This window comes from Homo sapiens, chromosome 15, assembly GCF_000001405.40.
Source record: "Homo sapiens chromosome 15, GRCh38.p14 Primary Assembly".
NCBI classification, from domain to species: domain Eukaryota; kingdom Metazoa; phylum Chordata; class Mammalia; order Primates; family Hominidae; genus Homo; species Homo sapiens.
In genome coordinates this window covers 68,574,885-68,597,635 of record NC_000015.10, presented here as the reverse complement: position 1 = coordinate 68,597,635, position 22,751 = coordinate 68,574,885, and the positions used below count along the sequence as shown (strand labels likewise).

The 22,751-nt window shown below is 53.0% G+C and overlaps 1 protein-coding gene across 2 annotated transcripts in view, besides 3 other annotated features; it reads right to left on the bottom strand.

Moving 5' to 3' along the window:
* The window catches only part of CORO2B (coronin 2B), a 209,434-nt gene that overhangs the window by 130,171 nt on the left and 56,512 nt on the right, over positions 1-22,751 (bottom strand). The window contains exon 1 of one of the 2 annotated variants that reach the window (NM_006091.5): positions 18,359-18,643. The exons of the other annotated variant lie outside the window; for it this stretch is intronic. Within the exon in view, the coding sequence (NP_006082.3) occupies positions 18,359-18,373 (15 nt within the window). The 5' untranslated portion in view covers positions 18,374-18,643. Of the gene's footprint in view, positions 1-18,358; positions 18,644-22,751 lie in introns of those variants that run through there. 2 annotated transcript variants of the gene reach the window in all.
* Positions 6,636-7,427: an enhancer, noted in NCBI's record as "H3K27ac-H3K4me1 hESC enhancer chr15:68882548-68883339 (GRCh37/hg19 assembly coordinates)". NCBI's record gives its function as "activates a minimal SCP1, AML or CMV promoter by ChIP-STARR-seq in naive H9 embryonic stem cells {active_cell/tissue: H9 hESC(naive)}" and the evidence as "EXISTENCE:reporter gene assay evidence [ECO:0000049][PMID:30033119]".
* Positions 11,052-11,346: an enhancer, noted in NCBI's record as "tiled region #3237; HepG2 Activating DNase matched - State 9:DNaseU, and K562 Activating non-DNase unmatched - State 21:Repr". NCBI's record gives its function as "activates a minimal TATA promoter and a strong SV40 promoter by Sharpr-MPRA in HepG2 and K562 cells {active_cell/tissue: HepG2 | K562}" and the evidence as "EXISTENCE:reporter gene assay evidence [ECO:0000049][PMID:27701403]".
* Positions 17,588-18,455: an enhancer, noted in NCBI's record as "H3K27ac-H3K4me1 hESC enhancer chr15:68871520-68872387 (GRCh37/hg19 assembly coordinates)". NCBI's record gives its function as "activates a minimal SCP1, AML or CMV promoter by ChIP-STARR-seq in naive H9 embryonic stem cells {active_cell/tissue: H9 hESC(naive)}" and the evidence as "EXISTENCE:reporter gene assay evidence [ECO:0000049][PMID:30033119]".

Below are 22,751 nucleotides of genomic sequence, written 5' to 3'. Positions count from 1 at the left end.
TTTTTTTTGATGGGGGGGAAACAGAAATTAGGGAGAAGTGATTGGCTAAATGCAATGCTTTTGAGAGGCCAAACAGCCAGGCAGTTAACAGCATGGGCCCTGGGGCACAATGGGGATGCAATAGAACCCTGGTTCCATTTCCGTTGTGTGACCTGGGGCATGCTGCTTAACCCCTTGGAGCCTCAGTTTCACAGAATGGGCATAACAGTAGAAGCCATCTCCCTGTGCTTCCTAGGTATTGAAAGGGTGATATGAGGTGCGTGTAAAACAATTAGGACTGCCCCTGGAACATGGTAAGCGCTGAATAAGCATTAGTGATTCTGTCCTACTCGTTAGTATTTTGTTGCTGGTGAATTAAAATCCCACAGCATCTCCCCTCCCTGTCACCCCAAAACCAGGCCAGCCTGGAAAAGATGTGCCAGCAGCCAGGCGAGCAAAGCCACCTCTCTCTGTCATTTCTCCTTGACCCGAGAAGGCTGTGCCTCTTAATTGCTCTTTGGTTTTACGCAATTTGAAATGAGCAGGCCACCAATTCCCTGCAGGAAAAAAAAAAAAAGATATATATGCTTCTGCTCAAAATACTAATGAGGTTGGACTCGAGGTGAGGCTGGCAGGGGAGGGCGGTCCCTGAGGACTTCTGCGGAGCCCTGCTGGCCCTGCAGGAGGACAAGACCCAGTTTGGAGCACCCTCCAGAAGGCAGGCAGGAGGAGAGCCACAGGATGGGCTCCATGGGCCCCAGGTCAGGAGGCCAGAGTGGCTGGGGTGGCCTGTGGGAAGGGGCGTGGGGAGTGCTCTGCGTGATGCGCGGCCATTTCTCCCCGTGGGTTTGTGGATCTGGATCTTCTCCCAGGAGCTCCGGGAAGACTCTGCCTGCTGTGTTGTACCCCTCTCCTCCCACACCATCCCCAAGGCCTGAAGATGCATCTTCCCTGTGCCTGCTGCCTCTGCCCTGGCTCCATCCTCATCACCTCAACATGGCTGCTGGGCTCCAGGCCTCCAGCCTTATCCTTCACCTATCTGTCCTCCCAGTCAGTCGAGAAGTATTAGTGAGCAGCTAGCACAGGCCAGCCTTATGGGAGCCAGAACCCACCTTCCCCTTCAATCTCCTTTCCCACCAGACCAGGCCTGCTCACTGTGCTTTCCGTGGCAGGCAGGCTCCTGCTGGAGCCTCAAAATTGCTTCTCTCTCAGCCAGAAAGATCCCCCTAGATCCCATGGGGCTCTATCCCCCCTTCATTCCACAGGGGATCCCCTTCTCACAACCCCCACCCCCTACCCCCCATGCCCCTGTATTTTCTTTAACAGCATTTCTACCACTGATGTCAGGATTGTGTTCTGTCCTGTCTCCCCATCCTCCTGGGCCTGTCCCTGAGGGCAGGGACTGTTCCTGTTTTATTCACCCATGTGGACTGTCCCATCACCTAGGGTCACGGGCACAGTGCATGCTTAATGAAGATTTATTGTTGTGGAATCTAATGACTTCGTCGCATCTCTTTACTACTAAAAGGCTCTTCATGGATGGACTGATACACATGGGCCCAGGAACAGCACTCCTGCACAACTCCCACCTCCCCGCAAGCCACCCCTGAGCCCTCATCACCTTCCCAGCCCCCGACCCTCCACACTCAAACCTCACTGGGCACCCTCGTGGCTCGGGAGCACCCCACGGCGTCGCTGCCCTGGCCTCTGCTCACGCTGCTCCTTCCCTCACCTAGGTTCAGAGCCACACTCCAACACCTCCTCCTCCCAGACGCCCGCTCCGTCTCACCAGGGTCCCTCGGCCTTTAGGACTCGCATTCAATGCTGAGCCAATGGCTTCATCCGTATTTGTTTGCCCGTCTGCCTCCCAGGCAGAATTCAACTTCCTTAAAGGCTGGGGAAATTGGTCCCCTCTGTGTGTCCACTGAGCCAGTACAGAGCCTGGCATGGAGCAGGTGCTTAATTGATGGTATTTTGTATTAAGATTTGGATTGGTCTAGTGATAATAACTGTTATTAACTTTACCACTCATGAAGTCCACCATGGGAAACAGGAAGACCAAGCCAGTCACAGAGCTGAGAACAGAACCCACCCCTGGGAGAAGCCCCTGAAGCCCTGCCCAAGGGGCTGAACTGAGGGAAGGGGATCCCAGTCCCCTAAAGGAGGACAGCGGATATCTGAGCCCTGCTGCATGGCTCAGGGCCTGGAGCCACAGGCTTCTATATCTGACGATAAGGCGTATCCCACTGTCATGGGGAAGTGCTGCCTTGCTTCTCTGGTGTCTGCAACTCCCAGGGATGTAAACTGGACATCCATGTCCCCCTTCCTGGGAGGAAATCCTGCCAGTGTTCTCAGGGACACAGGACAGCAGGGCTTAGCTGGAGGAGGAAAGAGGGAGGGGGCCCCTTTGTCCCAACCTGAGGCAGGGTAGGGTCCAGCTCAAGAGAGTACTCTCTCTGGCCTGACCCCACAAGTCACAGCTGAGGCTGCCACTTGGCTGGCCACTCAGCCAGTTCTCTGGCCTCGAATGCTGCAGAGTTGGGACTTTGCATGGTACAATGCTTCCTAAATCCACTTCACTGCACAACTCAACTGACTCTTAAAATACTATCAAGGGGCAGACAGAACTGGACTGATAGCTAGAACTGCACGGACAGCTAGAACTGGACTGATAGTTCACTCTTTTCAGAATTGGAAAAAAACAATCCAGAGAGGTTAACAACTTGCCTAAGGTCACACAGCATGATAGAGGCAAAGCCCAGAGTAGAACCAAGGCTGAGATTTCAATTGTTATTATTTGGATTCGCCAGGAAAGTATGTGCTGAAAAGCTTTCCTGGGACTGGAGGCAAGAGGTTGAAAGGGCTTTCTGTCCTCTCCAGGAATCCCACCCCACTTCCTTCTGCAAGCACACAGGCTCTGTCTCACTTCAAACCCAAAGAAATTCCACCTCTGCTCATTGGCTCGCAGACATGGGAAGTGGCTCTTTCCCCACGGCTTCTGCCCTGGAGGATGAGTTCAATAAACAGAGCCCCTTTCTCATATTCCTGCATAAATATTTCAGGAGACAGAAACAAACAGAACTGCTTTAGATCTGCTGCTGGTTATTCAGAAATCGGGGCTCCTCTATTCCAAGCAGGGACCACCCTGCCCAAGGAATTAGTGTTCACCAGGCCATGGGAGATACAAGATAGCACCTTCCTGCCAGGGCTGCTCACCTGGGCTGGGGAACCTGGTGAGAGCTGGAGAGCACAGCTCAGCTTGTACCAAAAGCGCCTCCACCTACCCATCCACCCACAGCTTGCTGTTCCTAGAAATGGGAGGAAATGGTCTGTTCCATGTCTGCTATTCTTGGGGATGCTTCAGTCACTGCTGCCCCTGGACCATACTGCAGGGGACACCAGGTTCCTGCACAGACAGGCACCACCTATGGGGAAGAGGGTGCAGAGCCTTCCATGCCAGGTGGACCAGAGTTCTGGCTGCAAACCTCAGCGATTTAGAGGGCCAATCCCCTTTATGTCTCCCCCAAACACCCCTTTTGTTTATTCGTTCAGACATTTATGGAGCACATTATTCTTGGATCCAGAACACTCAACAGCTCCCCATTGCTGACGGGATTCTGACTTCAGACTATCATTTCCTGTGCCACCCAACCACATCTCTCTCTGCTCAAGTCATACTCCAGTTAGCCTAGTTCCTCCCTTTCCCCCAAATGAGCCCTTCCCCTTCTTAAATGCATTTGTCCTTTTGCCTTTTCTCCTCTTCTCTTCTCTTCTCTCGCCCTTCTCAGGTCAGGATGGCTCATGTGCCACCTCCTCCATGAAGCCTTCCTTGACCTTCCCACCCCACAATGGGACCTTTGCATGGTGCAATGCGTCCTACACCCACTTCGCCACCTCAGAGCAAACTCACTTCACAGCTCATCCACTTCTGGAAATACTATCAAGGGGCAGACAAACTGGACTGATAGCTCTTTTCAGAGTTGCAAAAAAAAAAACAAACCCAGAGAGGGTCTTCTTCCCCTCCTCTCTGAGCTCCCTTGTAGCTTTCTAACACTGTTGCCCAGGAATTGCTCTTGTGACACTCTCATGTGTGAAGTCTTATTGTTCCAGCTCAGTCACAAGTGTCTAGAGAACGAGGCTCCAGATTGTGTTTCAGCAAATGTCTAGGAGTAGGGCTACATCCAGACCTGGCTGCTAGAGAATGGAAGCTCAGCTTTTAAGAAATGTGACTGCCTGGATCCCACCTCTCAGAGATTCTGATTCTATTGTTCTGGGGGAAGGAGGACAGGGAGGACCAACTATTTCATTTGCAGGTCCCCTTTTTCAAAAGTTTTTAAGAATTTCAAGACAGTGACAACAGAACATTAAACCAAATGTTGAACAGGTCATACACCCATGGCTACGGTTTGAATATCTCTGCCAAAACTCATGTTGAAATTTAATTGCCAATGTAACAGTATTAAGAGATGGGGCCTTTAAGAGGGGATTAAGTCATGAGAGCTCTGCCCTCACAAATTAATTAATGTGATTATCCTGGGAGTGGGCTCCTGATGAAAGAATGAGTTTGGCCCAATTTCCTCTCTCTGTCTCACACACTCACTATGACGTGATGCCTCTGCCATGGGATGACCCTCACCAGATGCTGGTGCAATGCTCTTGGACTTCTTAGTCTCTAGAACCATGAGCCAAATAAACTTCTGTTCTTTATAAACTACCCAGTCTGCGGTATTCTGTTACAGAAGCAGAAAATGGACTAAAACATACATGAAGCTGGAAACAGGCATTTAAACCTCACCAGGTGATTTGCAGCCGGGGTTGAGAACCACCTCCATGGTCAATATCCCCATGAGCCCTGAAGGTTCTGTGCTTCTGAGCTCCCATGACAGTACACAGACCAGAATACTGTACATTCCGTACATACTGTACAGTACACAGACCAGCCTCTCCATCTCTGTATGCCTGGGCTGGCTGGAGCACAAACAAATATTTATAGAGTGAATGAATATATGAATAGATGCAGAGAGGTGGGACTTGAACCAGAAAGCTGGGAAGAATCTTTTTTCATTTATTTATTTTTAATTGAGATGTAAAATATATATAACATGCCTACAGTGCACAAATCTTAAGTGTTTGCCTTGACAGATTTTTATACATGTATGCATTCATGTAACCGCCATCACTCCAGAAGTTTCTCTCATACCCTATCTCAGTTAATACTCTACCCCTATCCCCACCCCAGGTAACCACTAAAAACTGGATATAGAATTCCATCAGATGAGGGCTCTCCCAATGAAATAGACAGAACAAGCACAGGTGGGGTATATCCAAGAGACATGAAAGACGCTGACTCAGAAAATTCCCTTATGTGTGCTAAGGGCTGGAATTTACACCACATGTATGACAATGAACACAAAGGTTGAGACCTCCTCCAAGCAAGCAAGCTGGCAGGACTCAAACTCTGGTCCTTAACCTCCAAGTCTCATGAACTTGTCACAACTCTTGGCAGTCTGGAGTGGATGTGTGGTTGGAGGACACGGCGCAGAAGGAGACACACTGGCTGCAGAGTCTGGGGACACCGGGGAAGGGAAGAGGGTAAAACAGGGCCCAAGGCTGGGCAGCATCAGGGCATAAACTCGCATCCAGAAGCTCACTTCTGCACCCAGCCTCAAACCAGGTGAGGCAGTCCCCAACCAGAGGAGGAAGTGACCAACCCAAGATCACACAGCCAGGGAGGGTCAGGGCTAGGGTTTAGGCAGGAGCTCCTGAAATCCCATTCCAGTGCTCTTCTCGCCATGCTATAACCACGTTTTCCTAGAAGGAAACTTCTGGTCCTCTGCCCCCTCCTATGTTCTCAACCCTTAGATCGAACCATCTGGCAGCCCAGGCAGATGGGAAAGGCCCATACCATGGAGTGGTCCAGGCCAGGACTCCCATCTTAGGGTATGGGGTGGGGCATATGTGACACCCAGCTCCCAGGCACAGGGAGAGACCTTCAGGAGGTCTGGGCTAGGGGCTCAGAAACCCCTTCCCCGCCTCATTGCACATAGGCTTTGAGAATGTCCACTCACCTCTCTGCCTCTAGGGCAATGTGGGTAGGGACAGACCACCTAAAGTGTGAATGGGATCACATCACTCCTTTGCTTAAAGCCCCTCTAGGACTCCCAGCAACACCACACAATGAAGCTCAAGCTTCTTGGCTTGGCATCCAAAGCTCCCCATGGCCCCTGCCTGCCTGTCCAGCCACATACAGCCCCTCCATTTCCAGCCCAGCAGCACCCAACTGGTTCTCTCCTAGAATAAGCCAAACATGTTTCCCCTTCCATTCCTTTGTTCACGCTGCCCGCTCAACCTGGAATGCCTTTCCTGCCTCTTCATCTGCCTCTGCCTACTCATGCTGGAAGACTGAGGGAAGATCTCTCCTTCCAGAGAGCTTCCTTGGCCTGCCCAGCCACGTCTCTCATAGTTTCACAGTTCTGTGCACATGTCCCTGTCACTGCTGTTCCACGCCTCCACCCATCAGCCTCCCTTCCCCAACATCCCTGCAGCCATGTGTCCTTCTGAGTCCTGCAGCCTGTGTCCCCCCACAGACCAGGATCCCCCTGGAGACAGAGACTGCTTTGGTTCATCCCTGCACCCTCAATGCCGCTTAGGGCCTGGCACACAGGGCTCAGCAAATTTTTTTTAAATAAATCTCAGTCCTCGTTTTATTTGCACAAGGGTAGGGATGGGGAAGGCGGCCGGCCCTGCATAGGAGAACAGGGCAGCCAGGGTGGAGAGGAACACAGAATAAGCTTGGCTGTCCTCTCCTCTCCACACTCACTTCCCTGGCAAAACTGGCTCACTTACAGTAACCAGCTCTCCCTCCTGCCTCATTTGCCTCTCAGGAACCCCTCCTGCACCTACTCTAGTGTTTTCCTTCCAGCAGGCTCGGTCCAGTCAATGACAACCACTTAGGGCATTATTACCCCCTCAGGGGGACTTGTATTTTTAAGAACACCTAAAAGACCCAAAGGAAGGGAATTCTATAGTGGGTTCTAAGCGAAGTGGTAGGGGAGGACCTTCTAAACCAGCGGCCCCGCAGCACCCTCAGCCATCCACTGCCAGGCCAGCTGGCCTGCAGCTCCTGCTTGTGCATGGGGCGGTGCAGCCAGCGGGTTATGGCCCAGTTTGCCCCTTCCTGCTGTGTGAAGCAGGGCAGGCCATCCTCTCGGAGGCTGTCTCCCCCTCTGAAAAGTGGGGGTAACAGCAGAGTTATGGGGGTACCTGAGAGAACAGAAGTGCAGGGCTGGGCATGGGGGGGCAGCCTCCGAAGAGCTTTGTTGTTCCATTGTTCCCAGGGCTCTTCAAAAAGCAAAGGCCCACTGAGTTTGTGGCTCCCAGGCTGCTCCTACACTCTGGTCCTGGGAGAGGGGGGCGGTGGTGCAGAGGGGCAGCTTTGTTTGTGGCTCCTGAGTACCCTCTCCCCTTCCCTCCACCCACTCTCCCTCCCTCTGAGCCAGAGTTCCAGGGAAATCTTGGCCAGGAGACTTCTCAAGCTGGTGATATGGTCTGGCCTGAGGAAAGCTCTTAGCAACCCAGGCTCCCAACTCAGCGGCCCTTCTCATGGTTTCAGAGAAACAAAGGAGGGAAAGATTGCTGGCAGCCCAGTGTGCCAGGACGGCCAGCTTCCAGGAGGGAGAGCCGGGGGTCACGGGCCACTGTGGAGGCCAGGGGGGCAGCCAGGCATGTAGGGCATGCACTGCCAGGCCTGGGCAGCCGCAGCCTGATGGTTGAGCAGAAAGGGCTCCGAAGTTGCTCCCTCTGCCTCTGCCACTGCCAAACCAGGCCTCTGGTCAGGGCGCTCCTAGTTGGTCACTTGGGGAGCCAAGTCTCTCCAACCAGGTGCCTCCTCCCATCTAGGTTAAGTTCTCAAAGTCTCCTTTCTGGAACTTTCTCCCATTCCCCACTTTTGAATCAGTCCTTGGCCTGCCAACATCGGGCAACTACTAGAAGCCTAGAAAAAAACCCACAGAATTGGAAAACCCAACCTGAGCAGTAACTTGGGGGAGCCCCAGTTCCCACTCAGCCACATCTTTCCTATACCCCCTTGGGAAAACTTTCTAGGGCTTTAGTTTTCTCCTCTGCAAAATGGGCGTTTCTACTGTACATCTTTAAAGTCCCTTCCGGCTGTAGCAGTCCACAGATCTCTAACAGTAGAGATTTTGTCCAAGCAGCAACAGGGAATGTTTTAGGTTTGCTCCAAATCCTGCCAAATCTTATATGTCTATACCTGGTATTCGAAAAATCCACAACACACTCTAACTGGCATGCATAGCCCTTTGATGAATGCTGTGAAAGCTACTAAAAAGAATCAGACCTAATCTCTAGCTTCAGCAAGCTCACAAGTTAGGGAGCCAAAGATCATGCTCATAAGATAATCAGCAAACAAGGCACATTAGGCCTTTACCTGCTGGCTGGTATACCAGGGATCACATGCTACAGGAACTCCAAGGATTGAGAAATTAATGTGGATCCGAACCCTGAAAAGGTCAGTTTAACAGAACAGCTCAAGCCCTGAAACAGCCTCAATCCATAATAACTTGAGTTTGTTCCCAGATCTTTTAATGAGTAAGGCAGGAAGGCAGACTCAGGGTCTCTAGAAGAAAGATTTGTGATGATAAAGTTATCAGTTGGCCACTCAGGTATGCAGAAATCCCCTTTCCCAGAATTCCAAATTTCTCGGAATCCCAAATTTCCCCATGCATTTTTGCAAGCTGGTCTTTCACCTGGAGGTCAGCAGGGCAGGCATAACCAGCAATTTTTCAGGAGTTAAATAAAAATCCTCAGGAATTAAATCCCTTTGTCCCCTTCCACCAACACCTTTCTTTCCATCAGCCGTTCCACGTCCTGGATTCTACCAGATTCCAGATTATAAAACTGTTAGTTCTGAAATCAAACTCAAGGTGTTTAAATGATTTGCTGCAAATGCCTCAAGCTAGTAGAGGCTATTCCTTTCCATAAACCTAAAGGAAAAGCAGGTCTGAGCGCTGGGGGCATCGGGAGGTATCTGGAGCAAAGATCAAGGTCATTTGACAGTGGGAACCTGGTCTTTCTGCCCAGGGACCCAGGTAGGACTGTGCTCTGGGACCCACCTTCCCTCGCCTTCCACAGGGAGCTCTGATCTACAGAGAGCCGGGATAATACAGATCAAGGTTTGGATGCTTTATTTGGCTCACTTTTCAAATGAAAGCAGGACACCACATTTTTATAGCCAGATTATTTGTCCCAAGCATATTAAAACAGCCAAAATAGACAGAACAGGAAGAGAGAAAAGCAACTTTTCATCTGCACCAAACTAGCCTGACAGAGTAAAAACAGATAGAGGCTGTTTGGAAGAGATGAACTTTTCTCTTCCACCCACAGAGTATGAATCAATTCTGAAATAAGGACTACAGCAGGGGAGAAGTGGGCTAGCTATTGGAAGGAACTGCCTAAATCTGAGGGCCTTGAAATACTGGTGAGGAAGAGGAAAGGAGTGGGCACAGATTAGACATCACAATAAACCATTTCCTGCCATGACATCTACAAAGCACCTTATTTACATCTTTCCATGTTACTTAAATATTAGAGCACCCTACAGAGATAGACTACTAACTTCATTTTCACAGACGCTCAGAGACATCCAGGGACTAGCCCAAGGTCACACAGTAAGGAGCAGAGGCAAGAGCGAGGCCTGGGTCTTCTGCCTCCAGGTCCCATGCTCTGGACCACATATTTCCGGGTCATTCCCACCAGCCTGACAAAGTGGCAAGACAGAAGGCCTGCGAGGCAGGCTGAGTCCCTGACTGGCTGTGGGAACACTGTAAAAGTTACCTCCCTTCCTTCCCTGGACCTCCATTTCTGCAACCATAGAAAGGGGGATAATAATAGCACAGACTTCATAGGCTGTCATGAAGCTTAAATGAATTAATACATATAAAACATATTGTATATGCTTGGCATAAACTAAGTGCTCCGGAAGGGTTAGCCGCTTCTATTATTATTGTTATTGTTATTGTCTGTTGGTCCCTTGAAAGCAGGGGCCTAGCACCTGGTGAAAGGCTGAGAACTGACTACTATTAAATTGGTATTTCTTAAACGAATCTAAATTAAAATTAGGAATCATTGTGATATTCCTAAAAAGTGTAGAGTGCCGTACAGGCAGAGTGCTGGCCCAGATGACCTCAGACATCTCCGGAGTTAAATACTGATCATGGAGGCTTCCCAGCAATTAGCATGAGCACCTACCCAGGGTGAGCCTCCACACACCACCGCTCTGGGCAGCCAGAGCCTCCAGGGGTGTTGACACTTATCTCATACAGGGGACAGTAAGTTTAAGCCTGTGGCATGAACACCATGTAAAACATCCACCTTCTCTGAGCTCGGACAGAGCAGACACCAAACTGCAGACACTTAGGGGGTTTTTTTTGTTTGTTTGTTTTAGAGATGGGGTCTCACTACGTTGCCCAGGATGATCTCCTGCCTCAGCCTCCTGAGTAGCTGGGACTATTGGTGTGGACTTTTAACACTTTAGAAAAAAATTGTGTGTGTGTGTGTGTGTGTGTGTGTGTGTGTGTGTGTGTGTGTGTATACATATCTCCCTATAGTTTGACTTTAAAGACCAAGGCCCAATATAGATAATAAGAAAGATTTAAAGAACAAAAATGGTCATAATTGAGCCCACTAAAAATATAAGGTGGAAAATTTCCTGCCAGAGCAAAGTTTCCTTTTGGAAAAATAAATGACTTCTCCCTCCTGCCTGAGAGCCAGGAGGGCCTCTGGCCACTTTACACAGCCCAAGGAGGCTCCGTGAGGCATCGGGGTAGGCAACTGAACTTGGCACTTCCACACCCCCTTGCCTGGGTCAGTTTTAGAAGCAGCCAGGGTCAGGCCACCCTCCCTATCACCAAGCAGCAGGCAGCGGGAAGGAAAGAGGCCAGAATCCGGAGGTCCGGGTCTGGACCAGCCTCATCCTGCCTCACTGGGCCACCTTTTACAGGTGACTTAGCTTCTCTGTGCCTGTGTCCTTATCTGTAAAGCAGGGATGATAACAGTAACCTATGCCATGATGTCACTCTGAGGATTAAATGAGTGGATACTTGTACCATGCTCTCATCAATGTCCAGCATGCAGGAAGTGATCAAGGTCCGTGGCTTTTGACTCCTGACGTTTGCCCATTCATCCCCGGCCTGTTGCTCCCTCCTCAGCTCCCCTCCTTTCACCTGCTACCTCCTACTCATCCTTCATGACTCAACTTAAAGTCACTTCCTCATCCCTCTGACTAGGTCAGGCCCCCTGCTATTCCCAGAGTTCCCTGTACTGCTCATTTCATAAGCCCCAGGACACTCATTAATTTTCTGTCTTCCTGAGAATAACAGCTAACACTACATGTCAGGCATATGGTAAGTGCTTCACATGGATCGGCTCACTTTATCTTAATAACAATCCTTAATAGTAAAGGATTGTTACTATTATCAATCCCAATGAATGGATGAGGAAACAGATGTTCAGAGAGGTGAGGCAACTTGCCCAAGAATACACAGCAAGTAAATGACAGACTGCCATGTGTTTGACTTCAAAGCCAGCATTCCTAGCCAGTGGAACCCCAAATCATCAGGGGCTAACTCGAGAAAAGGCTGCTTCGTAAGGGCTGCAGGCCTGGACCAGGGACCTGCGTTCTCTGAACCAAGCTAGCCTCATGGAAATGGAGAAGGCGGCTCTGCCTCTGTCATACTTTGTTCTGCCCTCGGCTGAATGCCCTACCCAAGCAGCCCAATCTGATGTCAAACACCATGTATAGGACACCCTCCTCCCCCAGCACCCTTCCCCGAATCATTTACATGACTCCTAGCTCCAGTAAAGACCACAGGCAAATCTAAGCAGGACACAACCATGGGCATCACCCTCAAGGCAACCAGCATTTGTCCTGCACATCCTCAGTGGCAGGGCCACAAACACAACAGACAATAGCCCACTGTGTTGTAGGTGGGGGGTTGGTGGGGAGTGGAAGCAGAGTACGATCATGCCCCAGGACCAAAGGCCTGGAAGTGAGATGAAAGTGTTCTCTGGAGTCAGACAGCCCAGGTACAAATCCCTGCTCCCCACCCATTCATTCAACCTGTGACCTTGAGCCGTTCACCTACTCTCACTAAGCCTCACTCTCCTCCTCTAGAAAATGGGATGGATAATAGAATCTACCCCATGGTTGTACAGAGTAAATGCGATCATGCGTGCCCAACGCCTGCTTAATAACTGTTATTATCATGATGATGGTGATTAATCTTCATGGGTTGTGGACCATTATGTGATCGGATTGAAAAGGTTCTGGCTCAAAGCCAGAAGATCTGGGCGTGCATCCCGCCTCTGACCCACATTAGCTCTGGGACCAGGGTGTGGTCATCTCTCCACTCAGACACTCTGTTTATCCGTCCCTAAATAGAGGGGACCGTCCCCACCATGACAGAGCTGATGGGATTCAGGGAAGTAACCCATGTATGTATTCTGTACGAAAGACAGCCTGAGCAAACCTGGGAGCCTCCCATTGCTACATTAATTAATTGGAAGGAGGTTGCCAGCCAGAAACCAATTACAAAGTCCCTCCAGGGGCCTCTGCGGGGGCAAAAAGGAGGGATGAGGAAGGGCGGTGGTGGCTTCTCCCCCACTCCCCACCCCCACCCCACTTGTGCCTCCTTAGCAGCTGGTCCCGCACTCCAGGCCCACAAAGGAGAGGCTCATTCTAAACAGCTACTTTTCATGTGGAAGCCACTGGATTTGCATCTGTCCTTCCCTGGCAAGGCCTGCCCCATGCCAGCTGCCCCAAGCTCCCCAGGCTGCAGGGTGCTCCAGGACCCTGGGCCTGAGCCTGCAGGGCCTACAGGGGAAGGAATGGGAACCCAATGGGGCTGATCAGGAAAAGAGGGAAGGAGACAGGGCTGGGCGCAGAGAGAATCTGCACACGTTCTCATCTCCTGGACACCAGATAAGCTCTGTGGCCAGGCATATCCAAATCAGAGTCAGGGCTGCCCGGGTGCCAGGAGCCGAGACTCCACCAGCCCTGGCCCTGGCGGAGGCTGTGTCTGCTTCAGCTAGCTGGCCTGGGAGAGAAGTGGAAAAACTCACTCCATCCCTGAGCTGCCAGGACATTGGCCCAGCCAGCGCCCACACTCCCAACCAGCCAAACTCAAGTGTGTGCCAACCTCACAGGGCTGGCCACTGTGGGGTGATTCTGGGAGCCCTGGAGAGCCTCAAACCCTTCCCAGCTTCCTCTAAGAACTGCCATAGGTGTCAAGGTGGCAGTGCCTCGGGGGAGGGGAACACAGGGCCTCTGGGCACAGTCCAGAAGAAAGCACCTGACAGCGCTTTTCTGGAGAGTGAGCTTCATTGCCTAGAGGGAGAGACAGTAAGGAAGGAAAGAGCCTGCATTCATTAGGCACTTACAGTATGCAGGCAAGGCAAGAGGTCTCCTGGCTCATGCCCACTGGACCTCGAGACTCTGAACTCAAGGCTTTGGCCTTTCCATGTCCTTCTCCTCTAAGGTCCTGGATCCCAGGGACTGTGGCTAATGCCACTGTTTTCCTAATGCCTCACACAGGGCCTGGCCCAGAGTAGGTGCTCAGAGGGTGCTGGCTAAATGAACGAATGACTGCTAGCCGCACACCTCCCAGCATGAGAATGCTGGATATCTGGAAGAAGGCCGGGAAGGGAGAGGAGGCATAATGGGTGTGTGGGCAGAGCAGGCAGAGCCCTTGCCCACCCGCAAGTGGGCTCCCACCCGGGAGCTGGGTCTGTGCTGGTACCCCCGCTTCCTCTTCACCAAGGCTTCCTGAGGTGCTGGCTCTCTTACTTCCTCTCCCAGGGAGACCCAGACAGGAACGAGGTGCTGGGATGTAGAATGTCTGGAGGTTCAGGTATCTCCTGGGTACCTAGATTCTGCGTCAGGGAACTGGAGGCAGAGGGGCCTCATAATCCCCCTCGCCATCTGACTGTAGGTATAGCAAGGCTCCTATGGACTTTGCTCCCCTGCCCCACATCCTGTCCCTCCTCCCACTCCCGCAATGCTTCTTCCATCTAGGGCAGATGGTGTCCCACAGAGGGAAATCCAGGCACCAGCAGGACAGGAAGGGGCGATGCAGTGGGGTAAGTGGAGTGGGGCCAAAACATTTGTGCCTGCTCAGAATGCCCCAGGACCCCTTGCCAGGGCAGCCGGGTGGAAAGAGCACTGACCATGAGTCAGGACCGAGGTGCCAGCCCCTCCAGCCTCAAACTTACTGAATGACTTTGGGCAAGTTACAACTTCTGCTCCCAGCGTCTCAGTTCCCTCATTTCTCAAGGGAAAGGGTTGGGTGATTTGCCCGCTCCAAAATTTTATTCTCCTATGGGTGACTCTGTAGGGGCCCTAGAGACACATGATCTTTGGAAAATGCAGGCCTGCTATTACCTGGGCAGGATAACATCATCCTCAGTCCTTTCACATTCAGCAGGAGCCACTGGCTCTTATCAGCAGGCTGTGCCCTGCTGGAGCTGAGGCAGGAGAGGGAAGGCTGCCTGCAGAAAGAGGGGCCAGGGCACAGTTGATCGTGCTGCCCACGGACCTACAATCTATCTGCTTAGCAGGGAGGAGCATGTTGGCATGAAAGGTCTTCTCTTTTCCCACACTCCCTCTCCTAAGGCCTTCTAAGGTGCAGCAGGCAATTGTGCTGCTCAGGGTACTTTGCTCCTGGACCGCTGACCCCCCTGAGCCAGGCTCAGGAAGGTAAAAAGCATTCAGCTCACTAGCGTCTAACTTAACACAGCACACCTCAAAATAGGGGAGCCTGGTCACTATAAGCCACCTCCTCCCTTACCTGGAAGACCCACCTCTGGGTCACATCACAGCCAGCAGCCAGGAAATCACCCTAAAGGGCCTCTGAGCAGTACAAAGCGGGTTGCAAGGGCCTAGACTTTAGCTCACAGGTTTTCTTATAGCCCATTAACTTGTACTTTACACACGACTCTATTAATGTACCTTGTCCTCTGCTTTTCCAGTTGATAGCAATGTAGAAACAGATATTTAGAACTGGAGAAGCACTGCTAGTCTGGTACATGACTGAGATGGAACAGAACAAGAAAATTATACAAAGCAGTCAGAAGAACCTGAAGAATAAAATCAGCTGGAGCTACTCGTCTCAGGGAAAGCAGCCTTGGCTCCCTCGCCCCGAGCTGCCCTAGGAAGCACGTTGGACTGAGAGGAGGCAGCACCTTGACCTCCTGTGCATGCTCAGGGCCCTGCATCAGAGCCTTCCTTCCCTCCACTCTTTCTTCCCTTTTTCTGGCTTTCTTCTCTTTCTCATCCTATAAAGAAAGTAAGGTAACTTACTAAATTACATACAATCAAATAAAGTTTAAAACATAGCCAGGAGAAATGCCACAGGGCTAGAAGTTCTCCGGGGCTCTGTGTTCCTAAGGCTAGTTAGGGCAGGAGTCCTTCAGAAACCACAGGGTTTGCCGGCAGCTTTAGCAGCTGTGCCTCATGGTTAAGGGGGCAAGGGGATGTATGAAAGAGAGGCGGAAAATGGAAAACAGGCTCACCTCCTCTACAGAAGTGCTACTGAGGATCTAGCAACTTGCCATCTGCTTTCCTCTTCTCCACTTGCCAGGCCTCTCTGAGCTCAGAGCTCCTGCAGTCCATACCTAACCCTGGCCCAGAGGACTCTGCCCTGAGGGGACCTGATACAAGGACTAAGGCATTCGTCCAAGGGGCAGGAAGTTGGGACCCAGCCATGACCCTCTGCCTGGAGAAGCAGCAGCAGAGAAGGCTAGAGCCCTAGACACTGCCCTGGGAGCTCACTCTCGAACCCATTTCCTCCCCTACCTACCGCTCCCAGTGTGTCAGCAGCGATCCTACCTCTCACACCCTCTTTAGGGTTCTCCTTCATATCTGTCTTGTAAACAGACCACCCCTCAGAGAACAAAGAGTCTCCCAATCTCCATCAGAGGTGACTTTCTTGCCAGAACTGAAGCTGCACCAAGGCTCAGCAGAAGAGGCCCTAGAGATCATTGGAACCAAGTCTTACATTTGACAAATAGAAAAACAGAGGCCCAAGGATGGAAGTGACTGGTCCAAGGTCACACAGCCTGTTGGTGGCTAATTTAGGACTAGGGGCCAGGCCTTCAGACTTCCAGAGCATGGTGGCTTTCCCTATGGTACTGGAAGAGCTACTACCAGCGGGCTTGTAGACAGCAAAGCAGTCCCCAGTGCCTTTCCTGCATCCCTCTTGCTCTCTGTTCCCCACAAGAACACGCTGGTCTGTGAAGGGCCAGCAAGGGGAGAGAAGATAGGGTTAAGGTGGGGATTTTATTTAATCCCCTGAGCTTGCTTAAGCCAAAGCCACATTGGTTAGAGCAGGAGGTGAGCGACATGGAGGGTTTGTTGGGGGCTGGGTATGGGGGTGGAGGAGTGTTGAATAGTTACTGGATACCAAGAAGCTAGGCCTGCCAGTGGGCTTAACAGGTAAGCACCCACTTTCATGGACTCCCTGTCCCATCCCTGCTTCAAGGTTCAGGTCTCCAAGCAGTGCTCCTCTACCATGGAAGTCCCCCAGTAGCCAGGATGCCCAACGATGCAGAGCAGTGCAAAGATCACTGGCCATAGATTGAGACAGACTTGAGGGCAAACCCCAGCTCTGCCACATACATGCTGTGTGACCTCAGGCAAGTCATTTCACCTCTCTGAGCCTCAGTTCCTTCCACTGTTAAAGAGAACTGAACACACCTTCCTTGCAGGCCTCCAGGGAAGGAAGGCTGCATGAGCTCGCGCACAAAAAGAGACACAGGGGAGGCGCTGAGTTAATCCTCAGCGCTATTATTAAAACCTCACACCCTTTCTCTCTCTAGCCGGGCCCATCCATTACTCCTCTGTCCCAGCCTGCTTGCATCTTTGACATTAATAACCTTAATATCCCTCCCAGCTGAATAGCATTTGCATCATTTCAAAACCCTAAGCATCTTACCCCAGGTGGGCCACAACAGCCCTGCCAGAAGTAGCCAGAGCTGAGGAAGCCCCTGCACCCTCAAGTTCATCTTCTCACAATGCTCCCAAGTCCCAGAACCAGGGCCAATGGCAAAGTTTGGAGTTGGGCCCAAGAATCCGCACAAACATTCAGTCTTGGGGCAGACCTCAGGAGGGCAAGGGTAGGCCCTGGCTTACCAGAAGGAGCCAAAACCACCCCACCTCCATCACTTGCACCCCAACCCTCCATCTGGCCCCACTGCTCTGACCCTCCATCTGACCCCACTCTGGGCTGCCGGTCCCACTTTGGCCTCCAGCTCCCCAATTCTGGGACCCAGCTGGGCAGCTGGAAAGGGTGGAGTCTGGCCCTTGAATGGACGGCCAAGCCCGAGGCCACCGCCAGACTGTGAGCTCAGTACCCAGACAGATCTCTCTGAAGAGTGTGGGTTCACACCCTTGATGTTATTGGTTCTTTAACAGCCTGTCACAACCCAGGACCCATATTATCACCCTCACAGCACACAAGAAGAAACTGAGGCCCAAAGTGGACCCCTCCCCGACCAAGGTCATCCAGGGGATCTGGGATAGAGCTGGGATTGAACTCAGGTCTCCCTGGTCCCTTGACCCTGGCACTTTCCACTGCCCCATCATCTTTCCTCTTAACTCTTTCCTCCCTACAACTAGGAAGCCCCTGAAGTCTCTCCAATAAACGTGGGCCCCTATGACAAGGCCCAACAATCATCCTCCAATATGGGGGCTGCCAAGATGCCCACCTTTGCTTCCCCTGTCACATTCCCTCCCCACATCTTCAAGCCAACCACCTGGACCTGCCCTGTCTCTGGTAGCGGCTCCCGGGACTGGGCAGCGCCTTCTGCACAGAGTGGCTTTGGAGTGGAGCCAGCGCTCCCGGCATGGGCGGCAGAGGCTGGCAGGTGGGGTGGGGTTTCCCCTCCGCTGGCCTCCTCGGGGCGGCAGGCCCATCCCCACACCCACTGCTCAGCACCAGCCCCTGCCAGCGACGCTTCCCGCCGCGCACTCCCTGGAGGGACACCGCTAGCCGCCCAGCCCAGCTCTCCAGGGGTTAAAAATGCAGCATCCCAAACAAGGGTTAAAAATGCAGTCCCGGGGTTGGGCCGGGCGCGGAGGGATGTTGGCCAAACCGCCGGGGCTGCCAGAGCGGCATCCTCCCCCTGGCCTCCGCAGTCCTTGGGGGCCGGAGTGACTCGAGCGGATCCGGCAGCAAGAGAGGCGCGCGCCGCACCTTCCCGGCACCGGCGCCCCCTCCCCACACCCACACCCCCGCGCCCCCCGCAGCCTAGCCCGGGGGATGCAGGCGCCGGCGGGTCCCGGGCGCGGCGGGCGAGCGGCGCTTACCTTTGTGACAGTCATGCAGAAACTCCGCGGCGGAGCGGGGGCGCGGGCGCGGCGTGCGGGGGCGGCGGCGGCGGCCCGGGGCGGCGGCGGAAGGGGGTCCGGCAGCTCCCGGCTCGCTCCCCGCGCCCCGCCGGCGGCTCGGCCGAGCCTGGGGGCTGCGCTCCGGGCGGGCAGCGCGCAGGGACCGCTCGTCGGCGCTCGCCCGCCGCTCGTCGCTGATGTCAGCCCCGAATGTGCATTTATAATAGATGAGCCTCCTTCGCCGCAGGAAGGCGAGGCAGGAAGAAAGGGAGAGAGGGAGAGGGCCCGGGCTGGGGGGCGGGGGGAGGAAGAGGGGCCGGGAACTCGCTACAAAGGAGGAGGCGGAGGGAGGAGGAGGAGGAAGCGCAGCCCGCCAGCGGCCGTGCCCCGAGCCTCCCGCTCGATCGCCGGCCGCCGGGCACCGCTGCTCCCGGAGTCCGGACGGGCGCCCGGGTCCGCGGCCTTAACCCCTTCGGGCCTGCGGACGCCACGCGGCTGGGCGAGGCTGGCTCCCGGCACCTGCCGGCTGGGAGAACGGGCGGCGCCCCGGGCTCTCGGGTGTCCCGCTGGCCCGGGGACGCTGGTGAAGTCACAGGCTGGACGGCCGAGGCGCTGCGCGGGCAAAGAAGGCGGTCGGGTTCGCCCCCTGGAGGCTCGCAAAGTCGGCCCGTGGGCCGTGAGTGTGGCGCGGCGGGCTGGGAGGGGCGTGGCAGCCGCAAGCCCGGGAGCCCTGCCCGCACCCCCACCTCGCGCTGGCCCGGGGCACAGGGTGGCCAGACGGATTTGTGTAAGCACTCTTTCGAATCTAATTCCCGCCGCGATGACTTGCCCGAAGGCCGCCTTAGTGAGTTTTGCAGAGGAGGAAACTGACGATCAGAGTGGGACGGACGTGGGAAGTGACTTAGACCACAGCACAGGACCTGCCTGCCCGAGCCGTTCCTCCCGCTCTTTCCACTCGGCCGCTAGCTCCCTAAGGAACCTCTTGTTATAGAAGCTGCCCTGCCCTAGGACTGTCTACACTACCACTGAGTGCCGCTCTACTGGTGGAGTGATAACACAGGTGCGTCCTGTGTGTTGATCCAATCCTGACTCGGGGCACAGTGTGTCCTGGAGCTGCTGCGGAGATTTGAGGGACAGTCACCTGAAGGTGACCTCGCAAGTCTTGAGAAAGGAGTCTCCCTCCCAAGCACCTGAGCAGAACCGGTTTCCGCAGATACAGAACCGCGGAGAGGGTGGAGGGGAGGAGTTAGCAGAGGTGGAAGCAGAGGGGTTCTCCAAGCAGGACAGCCTGGCAAGCCCGGAAGTGCTGGCTTCCTGCTCCACGGTAATTACCGGTGCAATTCACCTGGACAGCGAAGGCAACGTCATATATGAGCACCTGCTCTGTGGAAAGTGCTGGGGGAACAGAGAGGAGATGGGATGCCTGCCTTCCGGGAGACCAGTGTCTAGATTGGAGCAATAATAATAGAGTAACCAGCCTCCAGGAAGTGCTTTGTGGGTCATTGTGCAATTTTTTTTTTTTTTTTTTTTTTGAGACCGGAGTAGTCTCACTCTGTCGCCCAGGCTGGAGTGCAGTGGCGCGATCTCGGCTCACTGCAACCTCCGCCTCCTGGATTCAAGCGATTCTTCTGCCTCAGCCCCCCGAGGATCTGGGACTACAGGAACGCGCTACCACGCCCGGCTAATTTTTTATTTTTATTAGAGACGGGGTTTCACCGTATTGGCCAGGCTGGTCTCGAACTCCTGACCTCGTGATCCACCCGCCTCGGCCTCCCAAAGTGCTGGGATTACAGACATGAGCAACCGCCCCCGGCCCTGCCATTTTTAACCACATTTTCTTGGGAGTCCTAAATGCAACAGTGTGAGGAAAGAATTACCGTCCCCATTTTGCTGATGAGTAAACGGATTTAGAGAAGGGAAGGGAATTGCCCAAGAGCACACAGTGACAGAGCGAGGACTTGAATGAAAGTCTTCTTAAATCAAGCTCAGCATTGTGCTTTGAATCCGTGAACTGCAGGGTCCATTCCTACTTGCTGCCTTATTTGAGTTTCACAGGTGTCTTAGGACATAGGTAGGCAGCTATTCGTTCCCCAGGGGAGTTCCAGGGACTTACTAAATCTCTTGGGTAGCAGATGTGCTGCAGACCTCAGGCGTCTCCTCTGTGCAAAACCCTTCCTAAGGCATCTTCCCACGTTGCTTGCCTGCCAGGAATGCTCTCTTATTCTTCTGCACTAACTCAAACGCATCCCACCTCTCACGGCACCACCTCCTTGCCACCTCTCCTGACAACTCCAGCCCAATGGCTCTCCCTGTTGCATTTAGTTCTGAGGGTCTGGTCTCATTTTCATGAGCCTCTGAGCACAGAGGCATGCCTTCTCTCACTGTGTACCCCTGGGCACATAGTAGGAGCTTAGCAAATATTTAATGCCACCAAGAACAAATCAAGCAAAATATACCTTTAACCTGCAGCAGAGGAAATTTAAATTAGGCCCATGAAAGCATTTCCCACCAGCGAGCTGTCCAGCATTGGAAGAGTCAGATTCCCTGTCTCAGCTGTCTTGGGCAGGTCAGCCTCTAGCCAGAAGGATGGAGCTCAAGACCTTTCCAGGGCCCTTCCAGCCCTAGGACCCCATCGGAAACCTTTAAAGGGCAACTCAAGGACACCAGTCACCCTGCACCCATGGCTGTGACTTGTCTGTCCACTTTTATATCTTACAGAGATTTCAAATCCCAGATTGTCATCCTGAGCTCCCAGCATGCCTCTTGGCACCTTTCCCGCCATCCGCCGTTGTTGTGGGCTCTGAGAATGAGACAAGTACTTAATAGCAGCTTGAGCCAAATGTAATTAGGAACATCAATCTGCTGCCCCCAACCCATGTGATGTTCTCCAAAGGCAGAAGGAAAATGTTTCTGATCCCTCCTGTGCTGCTGGCTCACCTCTTCTGTCACATCTCCCCAGGCAGAAGGGAGGTCTAGAAAAGCAAGGGCAAACTCAGACAATGCCACATCCCCTTGTGCCCAGTCACGGCCTCTGCATGTAGGAGATACTGAGAAATACATGCATTTTCTTTCTTTCTTTCTTTTTTTTTTTTTTTTTTTTTTTTGCGACGTAGTCTCACTCTGTCACCCAGGCTGAAGTGCAATGGCGTGGTCTTGGCTCACTGCAACTTCTGCCTCTCGGGTTCAAGCGATTCTCCCACCTCCACCTCCTGAGTAGCTGGGACTACAGGTGCCCGCCACCCCACCTGACTAATTTTTGTATTTTTAGTAGAGATGGGGTTTCACTATGTTGGCCAGGCTGGTCTCGAACTCCTGACCTTGTGACCTGCCCGCCTCGGCCTCCCAAAGTGTTGGGATTACAGGTGTGAGCCACCACACCCAGCCAATACATGCATTTTATATGTGCGATTGTTAACACCACAACACTACTCATCCTGGGTCTCCAGTAACATAGCCCATCTTAGTTTGGGTTTCCTCCAAAGCAAAGCCTGAGAGAGGTGTTGGATGCAGGTGATTTAATTGGAAGGTGATCACAGGAGTGGAAGATTGGGGCAGTGGAGGTGGGGAGTAGTGCGGTTGAGAAGGAGCAAAGGTGAATACACCAGTATAAAGGTGTATTCTCACTGGGCGCGTTGGCTCACACCTGTAATCCCAGCACTTTGGGAGGCCGAGGCGGGGGCAGATCACAAGGTCAGGAGTTCGAGACCAGCCTGGCCAAGAGGGTGAAACCCCCATTTCTACTAAACATACCAAAATTAGCCAGACGCGGTGGTGGGCACCTGTAATCCCAGCTACTCAGGAGGCTGAGGCAGAATTGCTTGAACTTGGGAGGCGGAGGTTGCAGTGAGCTGAGATCGCGCCACTGCACTCCAGCCTGAGTGACAGACGAAGTCTCAGAGGAAAAAAAAAAAAAAGAAAAAGGTGTATTCTCAGGGTCACTGCAGGAGGCATCCAGAGGAGTGAGGCTCAGTTCCCCAGAGACCCGTGGATCAGATACAGAATTGCCTGTCAGCCTAGCGGGTGTTTATCCACCCTCCTCTTCCCCATTGTTTGAGGGCTGACCCGAGGGCATTACCTTCTTGCACTTCAGGGCTATGCTTTTGGGAGGGCAGAGCAGGCCTCTCAGCTTCAGAGAATGTCCTGGGGCAGAAAGTAAAAAGTCCCTGGTTCTTATGGAGGTGGGATGCTGTCAGCTCAAGTCTGGGCTCTTTCAGATGCTCTAAGCTGCAGGTGAGCTCAGAGGTGGGGTAGCCTGAGGGGATACGGTACACATTGTGGGGTAAATAAGACGTTGCAGTATTAGTTCTGGTCTCTTCTAGACACTTTCATGCCTCAATGCTTTAGGCCATGCTCTTTCCTGGGCCTCTGGGGC